General features: G+C 40.4%; 1 pseudogene, 1 gene segment (V, D, J or C) and 1 further gene, besides 3 other annotated features; all 3 read right to left on the bottom strand.

The window, feature by feature from the left end:
- IGK (immunoglobulin kappa locus) overlaps positions 1-17,092 on the bottom strand; it is a 1,378,008-nt gene that overhangs the window by 38,716 nt on the left and 1,322,200 nt on the right.
- IGKV1D-42 (immunoglobulin kappa variable 1D-42 (non-functional)) lies at positions 5,974-6,440 on the bottom strand. The segment is given in 2 exon segments: positions 5,974-6,269; positions 6,386-6,440. Coding segments are annotated over 2 exon segments (351 nt in total), but the record flags the coding sequence as incomplete, so codon positions are not given.
- Positions 6,386-6,440: a sequence feature (IGKV1D-42 leader sequence).
- IGKV2D-10 (immunoglobulin kappa variable 2D-10 (pseudogene)) lies at positions 15,998-16,763 on the bottom strand (annotated as a pseudogene). Its single transcript is given in 2 exon segments — positions 15,998-16,309; positions 16,715-16,763. Coding segments are annotated over 2 exon segments (361 nt in total).
- Positions 16,299-16,309: a sequence feature (IGKV2D-10 leader sequence).
- Positions 16,715-16,763: a sequence feature (IGKV2D-10 leader sequence).

Here is a 17,092-nt window from a genome sequence, read left to right as displayed (position 1 = left end):
GGAGTCTATTCAACACTTGATTCTTTCTAAGAGATACTTATTAGTTTCTATCTGGGTTTGTAGCTAAACCCAAACCCCACTGTCATAGGAACCCCAACAAACATGAGCAACAGAGCTTGGTTTGCACCAAAAGCTGACATCTGCTTTCACTGCTTGCTTTCACTGCTGCTGCCCCAAATCCTACTATTCTCATTTCTATTAGGCAAAAAGTTGCCTTATATTATCTTATATTTTTCAAAATTCTATTGAATATGGCATACAAATGTATACTTTCTAAATGCTTCCAGACTTGTTTCTTCATTTTTAAAACTCAGATTGAGAATTCAGAAATCTCTCCTTTTACTTCATCTTGCTGTGTCTGACTGATCAGACATTTCACACAGGACTTTTGTTTTTAAGTAGATTTAACAACATCTATTTAGTAGCTGAAAGCTGAGAATGTCAACATTTTTACCTGGCTACTCTCTGCAACAGTGGTATAAAAAGGGGTCATTCCACCCCCTTTCCTGGAGAGAGACAGGTGCAAAGAAAAAGTGGAAGTGTGAAGCTGGGAAAAGAAAGAGAAACAGTCTTTATACACCTAAACTAACCCAGGTACATGTACACCAGGAACTATTTAATCAAAATAAAATCCAGAAAAGGTGTTAGTTTTGGTTTGGCATGAACCAGTCTTAAATATAAAGTTGTTATACTGAATAGGTTCAATTGACCAAAAAATGTAGGGAAGGCAGGAAGGATTAGGATGTGCTTTCACTCAGCTTTATCTGCTGTCACGTCTGGTTACTCAGGGGGGCACTTGGATCCCCTCCATTGTCCTGCTGGTTCTGCCAGGCCAAGGCTGTTAAATCTGGTGGAGTCTCATGTGTGGACTTTTGGGTATATACAGGGAGAACATCAGAGAAAGGCCTACCAGACTTTACTGGATATAGTTAATCTGACATGGGCTTTTGGAGAAAAAAAGGCTTTAGATGAAAAGTGTTGGACAAAGTCACACATGGCTTATCTAAAAAACAAAAAATCAAATACAACTTGAAAACTCTTGCTAGAGAAAATAGATGACTTTAGAAAAAGGTGAAGTGACATTTCAGTTTCCCAAATCACTCTTCTTCATACATGTTCACTTAGCTTTTTTTCACCTTCTATCTCTGAGGTTTTAGAAGGGCCTGAGCTAAAAGGAATTTGTTTCCATAGGAATCCAGCAAGTAAAACATAAACAACATCAAATAATCTACATCATTATCATAGAAGCATGTCAAAGAAACTAAGATTAGGTTGTGAGTTATGGCACAAGTATTAGAGAAATAGAGAAAAGATTTAAAAGATAGAATAAGACTTACACAAGAAAGCAGGACAGCCTTATGACAATTGAACATATCATAGGATAATAGGTTGTGATAATGGATGGTGAGAAGAAATGGATTGGACAGATAGGCATGGGCGTGATTGAAGATCTGAGCAATTTAGCATAGATCAAGACAGAATCCTTGGGATTTAAAGTGTTGTCAATTGGATAGTGGAAAAATCTGGGGATGTAATGAACTTGGATTTAACACTATTTCCAATAAGTTTCTGCTAAGTTAGGCCAGTTATGATAATGATGACTATTACAGTGCTAAGTATTATAGCAATAAGTATACTGAAATTAATAGCAGCATATATTATCTGTTGGATAATATTCTAAATGTTTTACATTGTTTAAATAGTAAACAGACCTGTGAGGTAGAACCTACTATTGTCACAGCAACGCAGGTATAGAAACTGAGGTAAAGGGAGGTTAAGTCACTTTACTAATGTCACACAGTCTGTAAGCAGTAAGCTCTGTCCCCAACCCCAAGGGTTTGACTTCAGGGCCTGCCAAGACAACGTCTGGACTGTTGCATGGATCTTGCCTGGCTGTACATGAAGCTCTAATTCCAGAATGGATGAAGATGCCGGTAGAACTTGGTGTAGCATTAATAAAATTGTTTCCTTCAGACCAAGAGAAATGTCCAGAGGGCAAAAGAGTTTAACTGCTTAAAGGAAAGAAGCAGATTTATAGGAAATGAAGTTCTGGAGTGTGAACAGAGTTTTTCACAACCATTAAGGAGAAGAGAAATTGAGTCTAGTTTGATAGATGTGCTGTGTAGAATGAGTGGTGTGGAGATTAGAGAATCAGCCAAGGAATTGTCCCCTGCCTTCCTGGATCGCATCATCATCTGTCTTCAAGGCAATTGTATCGGTACCCTGAGGGTCAGAGCCTGGGTCCTGCTTATCCATGCAGCTGTGGTCACCTTTGCACCTGCAGTGCTGGAGTTAATTGAGTGTTACTTTTTGAGGCAGCTTCAGGACCCTTGGTAAAAATCACTAAGCATCAAGCAAAAGGCATTTTTGGAAGAAAATTCTAATCAGCTCTTCATTCCCACCTGATGCAATTTTTGCTGCTGCTGGGACCCCAAGTTCTTGATCCCAATTTTGTTTTTTCTTTTATTTATTTATTTATTTATTTATTTATTTATTTATTTATTTTGAGATAGAGTTTTGCTCCTGTTGCCCAGGCTGGAGTGCAGTGGTGAGGTCTCAGCTCACTGCAACCTTCACTTCCTGGGTTCAAGTGATTCTGCTACCTCAGCCTCCTGAGTAGCTGGGATTGCAGGTGCTCACCACCACGTCCAGCTAATTTTGCATATTTAGTAGAGACAGGCTTTCACCATGTTGGTCAGGCTGATTTCAAACTCCTGACATCAGGTGACCCACCGCCTCAGTCTCCCAAAGTGCAGGGACTACAGGAGTGAGCCATTGCACCTGGCCCCTTGCCCCTTTTGTAAATAGAAATTAACACCAGACCACAACAGAAATTTTCTCAGGCAAGGTTTAATAGGTTTGTGGCATGAGCAAAGCAAGGGAGCAGCCTATGGGTAAGAGATCCCAGTGGCAATGCCCTGAAGTGCCCAGCTCTTACCATTTTAAGGAAGCTGAGGGGGAAAAGGAATGACATACAAGCATGTTTAGGCAAAGTTTTCTTTGCATTTGTGCAGTGGAGCGTCATGCTCTAACATATATAACATGATCAGGAAATGGAGAATAAGCTCTGCCTTTGGTGGATATTTTAGTATTACAATGAGATTATAATGAGGAAAAATCAGTGAAAGGTCAGTGCTGGAGACCATCTCGTCTTCAGCCAGCTAGATCTCATTTGGTTCTTTGGAGCAATGCCAGATCTTGCAGCAATCTTGCAAGATGACCAGGTTCTTATCAGGAACGTTAGAGTTCCACTTTAGAAACCTTGAGAGGCCAGGGGCAGTAGCTCACACCTGTAACCCCAGCAATTTGGGAGGCCAAGGAGGATGGATTGCTTGAGGTTAGGAGTTTGAGACCAGCCTGGCCAACATGGTGATACACCATCTTTACTAAATATACAAAAAATAGCCAGGCATGGTGGTGTGTGCCTGAAGTCCTAGCTACTCAGGAGGTTGAGGTAGGAGAATCACTTGAACCTGGGAGGCAGAGGCTGCAGTGAGCGGACATTGTGCCATTGCATCCCATCGTGGGTGACAGAGTGAGACTCTGTCTCAAGAAAAAAATAAAATAAAACCTTGAGAGACATCACCAAAGGAGATAAATGGTTGAGCTCTTCTTTTTATGGATAGGATTTTGGCCTAGTCCACTAAGTTGGGAGAGGACAGCTTTTTGGTATGGAACTGGAATCAGCTATGTTAAGGGAGGCAAGAAGGTTGGAGTGGAAACATTCCTGGACATGTGAGGCCCATTGGGATCCTGAGAACAATGTCTTTTTCCTGCCACAACTGTATCTCTTCCTTATACTCTCACAATCATGCACCAAGAGAGACAACTAGGCACATTTTGGGTAGAAAGAGAGAGATGGGGCCACAGTTTTCTATTTTGTTCCTAACAGTCCTTTTCCAAACACCATCTCAGTGACTCCAGATGACTGGCGAGACAGGAGAACACAGGCATTAAATTCTGTGACCAAGGACAGAAATTCTAAACTCAGGCTGAGCTAACAGCCTTTTCTGACCTGATCACCTGGGCAAAACCTGACCAATATAATATTTACATTTCTAACCATACAGATAGATTCATTTTATAAAAATTGATGGTATAGATATGAATAGTTGGTAATCCATTTAGAAAAATATTAAGAAGAAACTGAAACTAAATAATATTTGTGTATAATGATGGTAATTTGTGTCATTAAAAAAATGTACATATGGTATATAACCACTCAAAACTCGGTGGCTAATAACACTAAGCATTTATTTTCCTGTTCATGATAACAATCATCTGGTTGATCAAGGAAGGGCTTAGAAGGGTGGTTCTGCTGCAAGGCACTGAGATTATCACCAGCACTTGAATAGGGTTTGATCTGGGACCCAGGCAGGGTCTAACCAAGGTACAACATGCCTGTGGCAAGCAGCAGGAGTGAATACAATCCCCAAACCAAACTGAATAGGAAAATAATTTAAATCCAATTATTGGACTTACATTATTTGCCTTTTCAGCTTAAGTCTAATAATTATTATAAGGACAATAATCTCTAACCCAGGTACACACAGTTTTAATTTGTTCTTTCCCTTTGGTAAATACTAAAGTTTCTAAAAACATTTACTGCATTTAATTATCAAGGTATTTGATCTATTGATAAAAAATAATTTTTTTTAACTTTTACAATCTTAAAAATGCCTTTGAAAGAAATTTTGCACTAATTAGAATTAAAGCTGAGTGTGCCTTTAACATGTGGTTTTAATATAAATGGCCTCTGTAAAAAATATACATTTTGAGCTGAGGTAAAATCCTCTAGAACATAGCTCCTGAAAATTTCAGTAGATTACCCCTACACTTGTTAAAATGCAGATTGTAACACAATAGGTACAAGATGCATTTGTTAGTTTGCATTCATAACATGCTCATTGTGATGCTGAGGAGGCAGTTGAGTTGGCAGCTGGACAAATTTTGATTAGCAAAGTGTTTTCACATTAAGGAAAAAATATACTTTGTGAACAATTAGGTGTCTTGGTTGTTTTATCAAGAAAGTGTTTCATTTTTTTGTCAAAGAATTGCTAGGTATTCTAAACAATTTTCTCCTTTTTCTGTTTACTTTATGACACAGGAAGTTTTCTTGCAATAATCCCAAACTTGCTAATAAGACGTGGAAGCACATGCAAGGATATTCTTGGGTCATCCCAAATCTGGAAAATTCTGAGATTTGGGGAAATATTGACCTTAATTGGTTGTCAGCTCTCCATTCCTCATTATCACCATCATTTCTGGAAACACATTTCACAAAAACCCTTTTCCCACTATGGTTTCTTGTAGAGTTGCTCAATAATGGGCCCTCATGTCATACGTAAGAGTCAGAGGAGGATGATTCAATATTCATTGACACCTGCAGGTAGACACATGGACTGAGGTGAGGACTGGAGAATCACCGAGTGACGTGCTACAGGCAGCTAAGAGAATCAGCACCCTAACATCTCTACTTCCTAGACAGGGCAGAGGACCACATGTTTAAGCAGCCCATACATTCAGGGTCAGATGCGTTCAGGCTTCTGGTGGACCACCAGAGAGTCCCGTATTTCTAGTATCAGCTTCTCTGTTTACCACACCCCCAGGTATGGATGTTTGACTCTAATTCCCTGTTTTAAAACAATTCCTTCTTGAAATCTGTAGAGTGGTTTCTATTTTGATGTATGAACCCTGACTGATGCAACAACACAGATTCCTCAGGTATCATAATTGCTATCATTACTAAATCAGGGAGACGTTGTCATGTCTGTGCTCCTGGGACTGAGGATGAAGAAAGAGAGTTAGAAAACAGGGGAGACTCCCTGATCCCTTGTGCCAAAAGCTTAAAAACTTGTATACATCTGAGAAATGCTTTCAGCAGATGGAGGCACCAGGTGGAGCCTCTGTGCAACCCAACTTCATACATTTGTTTCACTAAGGGGCTTATGTTCAGGCTTGTAACCCTGTGGGAGGGTAACTGAAGTCCTGTTTACAGTAATAAGCTGCAAAATCTTCAGGCTTCAGGCTGATGATGGTGAGAGTGAAATCCGTCCCAGATCCCCTGCCACTGAACCTCGATGAGACCCCAGGGTGCAAATCTTTTGCATCATAGAGGAAGAGCTTAGGGGATTTCCCTGGTTTCTGCAGATACCAGGCTAAATTACTGCTAATGCCCTCACTTGCCCAGCAAATGATACTGACTCTGTCTCCTACAGATGCAGACAGGAAAGATGGAGACTGGGTCATCTGGATGTCAAATCTGACACCTGAGATTGGAAACATAAAAACAAATATCCACACCATGAATCATGGTATAAGAGAACTTCCCAGAAGTGCCAGAGCACAGTGGGCTAAGAAAATTCCTAGTGTTCTCCTTCCTTACCTGGGAGCCAGAGCAGCAGGAGCCCCAGGAGCTGAGCGGGGACCCTCATGTCCATGCTGTGTCCTGACTGGGACTGACTCCTGCACAGGTGTGACCAGCCTATTAAGAAGTCTTTAGGGCAGGGGGTGGTGCTCTGGGAACAAGCAAAACGGCAGGGGGTGGGGCAGGCTGGATACAGCTGCGTGGCTGGCTCATCTCAGTAACTCAGCACAGGGGCAGTGTCCCCAGTGTCCCAGGTCAGACCAGGGCACCTAGATTTGCCTGCAGAGAATGTTTCTTCCTAAAGGATATTTTGTTACCAAGTACATTTTTGAGCATTTATTGGCAAAACTCGAAGTGGTTGTGAGAACTAGATGGAATAATATATTTCAATGCTGTATTGGGAATAAGTAGGAGAATATCCTTGTTTGTAGAGAGTGCTTAATAAAGTCTTAGAGAGTGGGGCTATCAGGTCTTCAACACACTGTGAAATTGTTCCAGTTGGGAGCGATACTTTGTGACATACATACTACATTTTTGTAAGCATGAAATTGATCTTTTTTTAAGTAAAAAAGAACACTTAGTCATGAGCAAGTAAAATGTTCTCAAAAGCATTTTGTAATGGCCCTAAACCAATGTTATTACCAGTCTAAGCTGAAGAGGTTTACTGCAGATTGACAAAGAGGATGATTTTGTGATTCCTTAAAGCATATGACATCCACAGTTCCTGCATTGTCCAGAGCTATAAGTCTCTTTAATGCTTGAGTTTTAATGGGATTCATTTTATGCTCTGTTTGGGGACCCCCATATTCTACCCCCTTTTCTGTCATTGTGAATTATTTCCCACGGTCCATCAGCATAAAAGTCTGACTAGCAATGCTAAATCTGATTACTTTAAAACAATTTTTTTTCTTCTACTATAGGAGCCTTGATTAGCATAAACTTGAATCTTTGTGTTAGTTTGCTTAGGATAATGGCCTCCAGCACCATCCACAGTGTTGCAAAAGACATGATCTCATTTTTCATAGCTGTATATTAAGCATTCCATGTTGCATATGTACCACATTTTCTTTATCCAATCTACAACTGATGGGCATTTAGGTTGCTTCCATGTCTTTGCTATTAGGAATAGTGCAGTGATGAACATACACATGCATGTGTCTTTATGGTAAAATGATTTATATTCCTTAGAGTATATATCCAATAAAGAGATTGCTGGGTCAAATGATATTTCTGTTTTAAGTTCTTTGCAAAATTGCCAAACTGCTTCTTATAATGGCTGAACTGATTTATATTCCCACCAGCAGTGTATAAGCATTCTCTTTTCTCCATAAACTCACTAGCATCTGTCATTTTTAAGTTTTTAATAATGGCCATTTTAACTGGTGTAAGATGGTATCTCACTGTGGTTTTGATTTGCATTTTTTTAATAATTAGTGATTTTGAGCACTTTTTCATATGCTTTTTGGCCGTTTATATGCTTTTTTGAAAAGTGTTTGGTCATATACTTTGTCCACTTTTTAAAATAGTTTTTTTTTTGCTTGTTAATTTGCTTAAGTTAGTTGGAGGTTTTTTAAGGAAAAAACCAGAATAAGAGAAAAAGAGGAAAATATAATACCACAGAAAACACAGACTGTGGTAAGTATTGCCTCGTGGATATATGTGTGTGTGTGTGTGTGTGTGTGTGTGTGTGTGTGTGTGTGCATATATATATATATATATATATATATTTATGATACATGCTGTGTTTATGTGTATAATGATGATCCAGAAACTAAAGGGTGACTGGTTTAAGGACTGCCTATGTTGCACTGAGGCTTCCTTCTTTTCAAATTATGAACTAAAGGGTACAGCAGTACTTGCATGACTCTCAAAAATTCTAGCAGCATGAGATAGAGGTAGAGGAGATTTACTGAGATAGATGCATTGGAAGCTGTAGAAGCTCGTCCTGTGCTGTTGTGGATGTTGTGATTGTAGTAGTTGTTGTTAGTACAGTGGGAGTAAAAGCAGCTTGAAGATTTACAAGCTCTTCTCTTCCTCATACTTACAACTCCCTCTAGAGACGCATCAATGATTGTACAGGAATCTCTGACACCTCTGGAGAAATCTTGTTAGCTCAATCCAGAATCTTACCTGAGAAATGTTTTGAGCCTCAAATTATGTGAAACTAGGGTGTAGAAAAAGGACTAGAGCAAGGGAAAATAATGTTCATGCCTGCACAGTGGTTGTAGACAGGTAAATGGGGGGCTTTATAAGTGTGATGATGTGCCAAACCTCTGTCACCACGGGGAGAGAAGCATCAAACCAGGATCACTTCTGGAAGAATCATTAGGTTATTTTAGATGGAAGGAACTGTGAATTCCTTGCCAAATAGATTTTTAAAATTCAAAGCTACTCATTACGTGTTAATATTATTTAACTTCTTTAAATATACCAGGTGGTAGAGGGCACATCCACTATTTCAATTCAGGGTTTGTATGCCTATGTGAATTATACCATTAAAAACACAGCAAATTCCATATTGGTTGGGGAAGAATGTTTGAACAGTAATCAATTTCGTGAAGAAGAGGTTTATGTCACAGCACTTTCCACAGTATTACATACAAAAACAGTGAGTGATCTCATATCCACAAGAGCCAGCATTTCTCATGTGCCACATATGCCCTCCCAGAAAGAATCAAAGCCTGGTTCAAGTTGATGAAAAGGGAAGTAAAAAGAATAAAGCCCCAAAACACAGCACTATAAATGGAAAGGGGAAAATCATTGCAGAGCCTATGATGATAAAAATACAAAAGATGGATATTCTGAGTATTTTTATGGCAACTAGCTTGACAGAAGTAACAATAAATTTGTATTATAAATTACCCAGAACGAAATTTCCAATTTTATATCTGCCTGACTGGTGTCTTGATACCTTATCAAAATTACACAAATTTTCAAGAGATTCAAAAAGAATAAATACTCCCAAACTTATCATATGAGATCACCATATACTCCAGTCCAAAAATAAACAAGGACCTAACAAACGGAGAAATTAAATGCTGGTATCTCTTGTGAGCATAAACACAAATATTCTGAAAAATAGGGAAAGAAGGAAAATATAATCATTTTTATATCTATACGTTTGTGAGCACACATGGTTAAGTGTATTACAGTTTTTATGCTAAGAACACTTGATATGTAATTACAAGTTCTAAAAAACTGATAAGAAACAGAAGATGTGACAGTTCCATTTTCCTAACTTTTAAAAGAATATTTCATCTTATTTAAATATTATTTTTATTTTTGTATGACTTTTTGTTTTGCTTAGACTTTTAGTTGAAATGAATAATGAATGTGTATTAAAAGCCTACCATTTTGATTTAATCTATGAAGGGTATTTAAATTCTCATTCTATAGAAGAAAAATCCAAACTCCTTAGAAAAGAGAGATCTTGCCAAGAGCTACACAGTTCTTGTTTCAGAGCTGAGATTTTCTCTCAGATATTCTGGCTCATACAATTTTCAGTACACTACAGATAGAAGATGCAAAGACAACATTACCCAATTGGTCTTGCACTTACTTTGTTCCCTGTTAACTAAGTTTACTGAAAAAAAATAATTACAATAAAATACACTGTCAATGAACTGTCACAAATAAATACATCTGTAGAACCACCTCCAAAATCCAGACATAGAACATTTCTATAACTCCCAAAAGTTTGACCCACTCTTTTGGAATCCACTTGCTTTCCACCACACAGATCAGGGAATTCTTGATCTGCTTATTGTCAGTGCAGATTCCAATTTCTTTTTAAGGGTTTCATGTAAATGAAATATAGCATGTGCTCTTTTGCATCTGGTGAATTTTGTGTAGCATAACTGCTTCTCAGATTCATTGAGATGTCATGTGTTCCAGTTATGTGCTCCTTTTTATTTTTGAGTGTTATTTAACTGTTTGGTAATTTTATAATGGATCCTTTCACCTGTTGATTGCCATGTAAGTTGTTTCCACTTTGGGCTATTACGGATAAAGCTGCTATGAATGTTCTTGAACAAGACTTTGTATGAACATATCTCTTTATTTCTTTTGGGCTAATACCTAGGTGTGTAGTTGCTGGGTCTTACAGTAAGTGTTTAATACTCTGTTCAACTTTTTCCAAAGTGGCTGAAACATTTTACATGTCCACCAATAACTTATTATAGCTCCACACCCTCCAACTGCTGTTTTGATTTTTTTTTTAAGATTTCACCTAATTGTCACTCAACAGTAACCAGAATAGCTAGTGATTATTAAGCTATGTTTTTCTGACTATTTTCTTGTCAATTTTGGTGGTTGATGTGTTTCAGGATATTGAGAATAGAATCAATGCCATCCAAGCTCCTTTTCAAATAATTTTATCAAGCCATAATATTTAAGATGGTAACAGGATATATACAAGGTGTGTTGGGAGTAGTAATAAGTGTTTTCAACATTTATTATTATCGTACTCCATAAGGCAATATGTCTTCAATGAAATAGTGTTTAACTAGACTTAGGATAGAAAGGTTCTCATCTCAACCCTAGTATTCAATATTAGGAAAAGTTTAAGGAAAAAAAAAAACATCCAGGAAAATAAGTCAGAGAGTGTTTTGCTAGTCAAGAAAAACTGCAACACTGATGCTCTTTTAATGCCAGGCCTTCACAACAATTTCCACTCAGATCATTTGGTGGCCTCCTTGCCTTGTTCTCCTTATGGGACTTCATTCTGAGGGCATGTGACATCACAGAGGGAGCAGTGCACTTGGGTACAGAAATATGGCTTAGGAGATTGTCTGGCCTTAGAGGCGCCTGCAATGGAATATACATTTTCAAGGAAGTTCCCTGTTAAAGCTGATAAATTGTTAGTTAAGGCAAGGTGCAGGGGCTTATGCCCATTATCCTAGATGTTTGCGAAGTCAAGGATGGAGGACAGCTGAAAGCCAGGAGTCCAAGACCAGCCTGGAAAACATAGGGAGATCCCCCCGTCTGTAGAAAAAAAAGAATGTTTGGTAAGATGTGGTGTGAACAATGACATCTATAAGAGATTATTTATTAACATTTGCTCAGAAAACTAGAAAATAGAATGATGTCTTATAATCCATCAATATCATAATAAAAATGCTAAGTTTTTCAACTATGGTAAATATAGAGAACATAACATTGCCCATCTTAGCCATTTTTAAGTGTACAGGGCAATGGCATTAAGTAAGTCACATTGTTGTGCTATCATCAATAATAGCAATCTCCAGAACTCTTTCCATCTTCTAAAACTGAAACTCTATTTCAATTAAATGATAACCCTCTCCCCATTTCCCCTGCTTCCAGTTCCTGGCAACCTTCATTCAAGTTCTGTCTCTATGACAGTGACTACTCTGAAGCAGGTTCACTGTGCCCTGGTTACCAACTTATCAGAGTCCAGGGAGACAGAACAATCATACACAACAAGTTACAAGAATCTGGTGTAGTATTTATAGGTGGCCAGCAAGGGACTGCAGAAGCCTAGGATGTATTGTGGGTCTGTCCCCTTAGGCACAGGCATGTGGGTCTGATGGAACCTTGACCGTGTGTACCCCACTTGGACCATAACTCAGCAACCCCAGAAAGAAGATGCTCTGGGTTTTTAATCCTGGTGTCACAGGACACATGGAGCTAAAGTACTGGAGGACTAAAGTACTGGAGGACAGTACTAGGAGAAGCTGGAACAGGGGCAGGCTCTTCTGACCAGTCTCTCCCTATTTCAGAATGTTACATTTCCAGCACATCCTACAGTTGTTCTTGAGAAGTGTAAGAAAGAGAGTGGGGAGAACTAACTGAGTCGAGAACCATTAGAGGACTGTACTGGAGTCACCCCCAACCCAGACACCCCCATTAGAAAGCCATTCCATTTTATATGCCTACTAATAACCCTGAACTGGTGGCAGAGGTGTGTCTTGTTTGACTGATGAAGCCCCTTGACGAACACAATGTCAAAGCAACATCATTGAGCCAGAGCCAGAATAGATTTCACTGGGCCAATGAAAACTACTACCAGAGGCAGGATGATCAGGCCCAACTGAGGCAGTTATGTAGCCCAGGATCCCATGATCCACAGAAGAAGTTGCTAAAGGGGTGAAAGAAGAATCCTTCAGGTGGGCCCATTTTCTTCAATTACGAGCCTGTTTCCAGATCTCCTCTACTTGAATTTCTAGGATACTTGAGGTGTTTGTCCAGATACAACAGGAAGTGTTGGAAATTGTATACAATCCTCCCAGTTGGGATTTTAAAAAAGTCTAGAGCAACACTGTTATCTAAAACATCCATCCCGATGGAGTTAACGGATGTCTGCTGGGCTACCAAGGCAGTGGCTATGGAGGAGGAGCAATATCTGCCATGGTCAGGGACACGTTTCTTATCATTTCTCTTTTTTACATGAGCACTGACTCCTATACATAGTACCAAAAATATCACAAAAGACATAAACCCATAATCTGTTATACCTTCTGGCAGGTCCCTAGTAAGTCTGAGGTACAGCTTTGGGCTGCAGGCTCAATGGTTCACCTAATTCCAAGGAGTAATATCCAGAGACAACCCCAGCATGCCCAACATGCAGAATCTCACCATCCCACAGTTATCCAGAGATGGCATCACACATCCTGCATTTTGTTCACTCCCAGACCATTCACAGAGAAATATGTAGCCCTTGGGTGCATACAGCCCCTTTTCTCCCATTTTATTGTTTAATCACCCAGTCATGGTTATGCAGGTATTGGTGTGTTCATTAGCCAAGTCTCACTGATGGCAGAGTTGAAGGAGCAAAGTTTTTCTCAGACAATATTGTTCATAGACAGAGGGTAGCATTAGTCCTCTCCTTGTTTTTGTCTTTGCCATTGGGACATTTCTTATCTATGCAATCAAAGAAATATGGTGCATCAAAATATCAGTCCACCAATGTTTTTTTTAGTTGTGATCATGACATTTGCCACAGAGTCAATTTAGTTAAACGGGGGGCCTCCAGTTTTCTCCCATGTGGTAGGTGTCACATCCTCAGTTGGTAGGCCAGTGCTCGGGTCCTGTTGATGTACATCATGGTATCAGGAATGTTGGCGCCATTTACCTTCGGTAGAGTGAAAGGAAACCTCTAGTTAGTGACAGAATGAGGTCAAGAATGGCAGATTCAGTATTTTGAAAGATTACACTCGGTGACTTGCAAGAAGCTAACAAAGATGTTATGCTTCTAGGCCTTTGCTGACTCATTCTTGCCAAAATGCAGTGTGACAGGTTAGTGCATCATCTCTCACCCATCCCAGGGTCTCAGGTGTCTCCTACCCATCTACAAGGGTTAGGCTGTGTTGGTGTAAGAATGCGGCCTGGCTGTCCTTGCTCTGTGAACAATCCATTTCCTTTGTCACTTGACCCAGACATTTCAGTCCTGATTGTCCACTGCAGGAAGGGAGATTATGCCCTGTAAAAACTTGACATATTTCATAATATCGCCAACACTAAAGGAAGGATAAGATGGCCCTGGCACCAGAAGAGGGCCCCTAGCTCCCTGATATTTCTTAGTCTTGTCATCCATCCTGTGGGATCTTGTAGAAAAGAGGCATTTAGAGGAAACATAATCCCCATATTAGAGTTAGGGGGCCTGTCTGGGGTAAGATGATGGCCTGAATTGAAAATCACCCCAGGGCATGCATTCTAAAGGAAAAAAAGAAAAAGAATGGTTAGGAACACTGAAATAGCTTTCACAGGTCCAGACTAATAAAGGAACTGCCTGGTCTACCTTCGCTTCCACTCAGCATTATGTTCCTTAACATTCATTATTTCCCTTGTTCTGGAGTGCGATATTTAATGCCCATATTGCTCTAGTAAGATGGGGTACCACCCCATTAGCAGACTTTCTAGATGTCCTTTCTAGATGTTGCTGTGTGAGTCCATTGTTCTAGCATTCACTAGATTCATTGGCCTGTGGATGCAGGGTGCATGGAAAGTTCATCGTGTTCCATGAGAGTGTGCCTACTGTCATGTTGCTTGGGCAGTGAAAGATGCTCCTTGGTCAGTGTGAAGTGTCATTGGGTATCCAAAAATATAACATAAGTTCCTCTCAAGGGTGACCTTGGTAGTCCCGGCATCCAATTGAGCATCGTATCTCTTTTTCCTGCAGGTGGAAAGCTGTGGCCATAGTCCTTTCCTCCACACCAGGGATTCTTTAAAACTCCAGTCTCTCAGTTGCCATTTTCCTGAACAGATGTTGAGGCTGTTGGCAATGGCCCATGATTTAGTGGAAATGTGGCATGGTACGATGTTGGAACAGCCTGCATGGCCATCACCACTGAATGTAGTTTGACCCACTGGGTTGAAATCCCATGCTAAGTTTCAGTTAAAAAAGTGGCCATCCATTGGCTGAATGGTGGCCACACCTAGTGGACCTGTCAGTTTGTGTTTTCCTCAGCCATCAGTGACTCCTGCCGTATGGAAATCTCTGAATCTTGGGCTCGACATGGGTAAATGAAAATCCAAATTATCACCTACAAGTCATTTGGTCCCTTCAACAACCTCTCCATTTGTTCATGGAGCCACAGATCCTGTGGGGTCCTGACTAAGCCTGATCAAGAATGTGCCATTTCCATTTGATAACATGACTCTGTTGAGATTGTTACTGCCTTGAAAGCCAGGCAGGTGCTTCTCAACTCTGTGATTCTTCCCAGGAAATACGTGAGAACTTCCATCTGGGTTCATATCTCAAACACAACCCAGCAGTCTCTCACTTGCTGCTCTCTGCTCAAAGTCTTCACATTGTAATTTTTCATGGGGTAAAAAGTTAGCTTATATATTATCTTGTATTCATTCAAATTCTGTTTAAGTAACATACATATGTTCCTTTATTCTTTCGAACTTTGTCCTTATTTTTGAAACCCAGCTTTGGAGTTCAGAAAGCTACTTTTGTACTTCAATATGCTGTGAGTGAGACTGTGCAAACACTTTAGCAACTAGGTCTTTATTTTTGCATACATTTGCCACAACATATCTAGTAATTAAAAAATCTAGACTGTGAAGAGTTTTATTTGGGTTCTCCCTGAAAAAAGTAGGATAAAATACAGTGCTTGCTGGTGTTCTGGTCAAGGGTCTGCCTTACAAAAAGTAGAGGGGGGGAGGTGGAGGAGGGGAGGGAAACTGATTTAATATCACCAAATCTTATCAATGTACATGTACTCTGGTAACTGCTAAACCAAATCAAAAGAATGTGTTAGCTTTGTGTTGCCAGTAATCAGTCTCAATTAGGTGCCTGTTATGCAGAATGAATTTAGTTGATGAATGAACGTAGGGAAGGAAGAGAGGATTAGAATGAGCTCTCATTGAGCCTTCTCTTCTCTTGTGTCTCATTGCTCAGAGGGCACGTGGACCTCCTCCATACTGCAGACTCTGTCATGCAAAGGCTGCTGCAGCTGACGGGACCTTAAAATGTGATGCCTGAGGTGTAGCCGAGAAATTTATGGTCATGAGCCCTCAGCTGCACCAAGCCCTCTGAGTTCTCCAACATCTTCTTCTTTAGGCATCTAAGAGAATCCACAGTGCCTGCTCTCCACAGAAACAGCACATCTGGGCAGCTAGGCCACAGCAAGTGGGGAGGTTTGTGTTCAAGACTCTACCATTGTGGGAGGATAATGTGTACTTTGCTGGCAGCAATAAACCCCAACATCCTCAGCATCCATCCTCCTGATTTTAGCATGAAATCTGTCCCCGACCCACTGCCACTGAACTTGTCTGGGACTCCAGGGTCGTGATTGGAAACTAAATAGATTGGGAGCCAAGGAGGCTGGCCTGGCTTCTGTAGGTACCAATTGAAATAGATGTATCCATTACTGTGAAGGGGGCTGTGACTAGACCTGCAGGAGATGGAGGCTGGCTCTCCAGGGGTGATGGGCAGGGAGAGTGGAGGTTGGGTCTTCGCAGCATCTCCATTGGATCATGAAATAATGAGAGAGAAGTGCAAGGTTATGTGCAAACATTGTGAGTCATTTTAATCATTTTCTGTCTGTTATTTATGTTTTGCTCAATTATTTTTGTGTGTGTGATTTTGATTAATCCTCCCAAAACATACAGGTTTAAAAAGAACCAATATTTGCAAGGCAAAGCCGGCCTCTAGAAGTCACCTATCCCATCCCCCTCTTTCTGTGTCACAGCTTTCACTAAAGTACATGTCCTTGCTCCTTCTGGAATCTTCCTCACTCTCACAGATCTAGACATCATATGCCCCATCCTGGAGGACAAGACACATCTAACACGAGGACAGGACACACATGGGAGGTGGCGGGATCCACAGAGTTCACCCTCCCACCCCATCATCCTCCCTCATTTCCCTTCTGCCCTTACCAGGGACCCAGAGCATTAGCAGCCCCAGGAGCTGAGCAGGGAGCCTCACTGTGAGAAGGTGAACTGAGGAGTCCTGATCAGTCAAGGCAAGGGTAGAGCTGAGCTTTTATCTCAGACTCACAAGGAAAGTCCTCCCTAGGGGACAGTATGCAAATCCCCTGGTGGGTGCAGTGGGGTGGAAAGAGCCAAGGAGAAGGTGGGGGCGTCTCTTGTGAGCAAAACGACATAAATATATTTTATGTTTTTAAGGAAATCAATAGAGGTAAAATCTGTGTTGCCTGAGTGGCAGAAGGGACGTATTTAGATTTTCCTGCTGTTTCCTCTACTAGACTTCTAGTTCTTTAGGACTTTCTCGGGCATGTTTTATGTTTCTTTTTA

The sequence above is a fragment of the Homo sapiens genome, chromosome 2 (assembly GCF_000001405.40).
Source record: "Homo sapiens chromosome 2, GRCh38.p14 Primary Assembly".
Taxonomy (NCBI): Eukaryota; Metazoa; Chordata; class Mammalia; order Primates; family Hominidae; genus Homo; species Homo sapiens.
The sequence above is the reverse complement of the archived record's forward strand: the minus strand, read 5'-3'. Positions and strand labels throughout refer to the sequence as shown.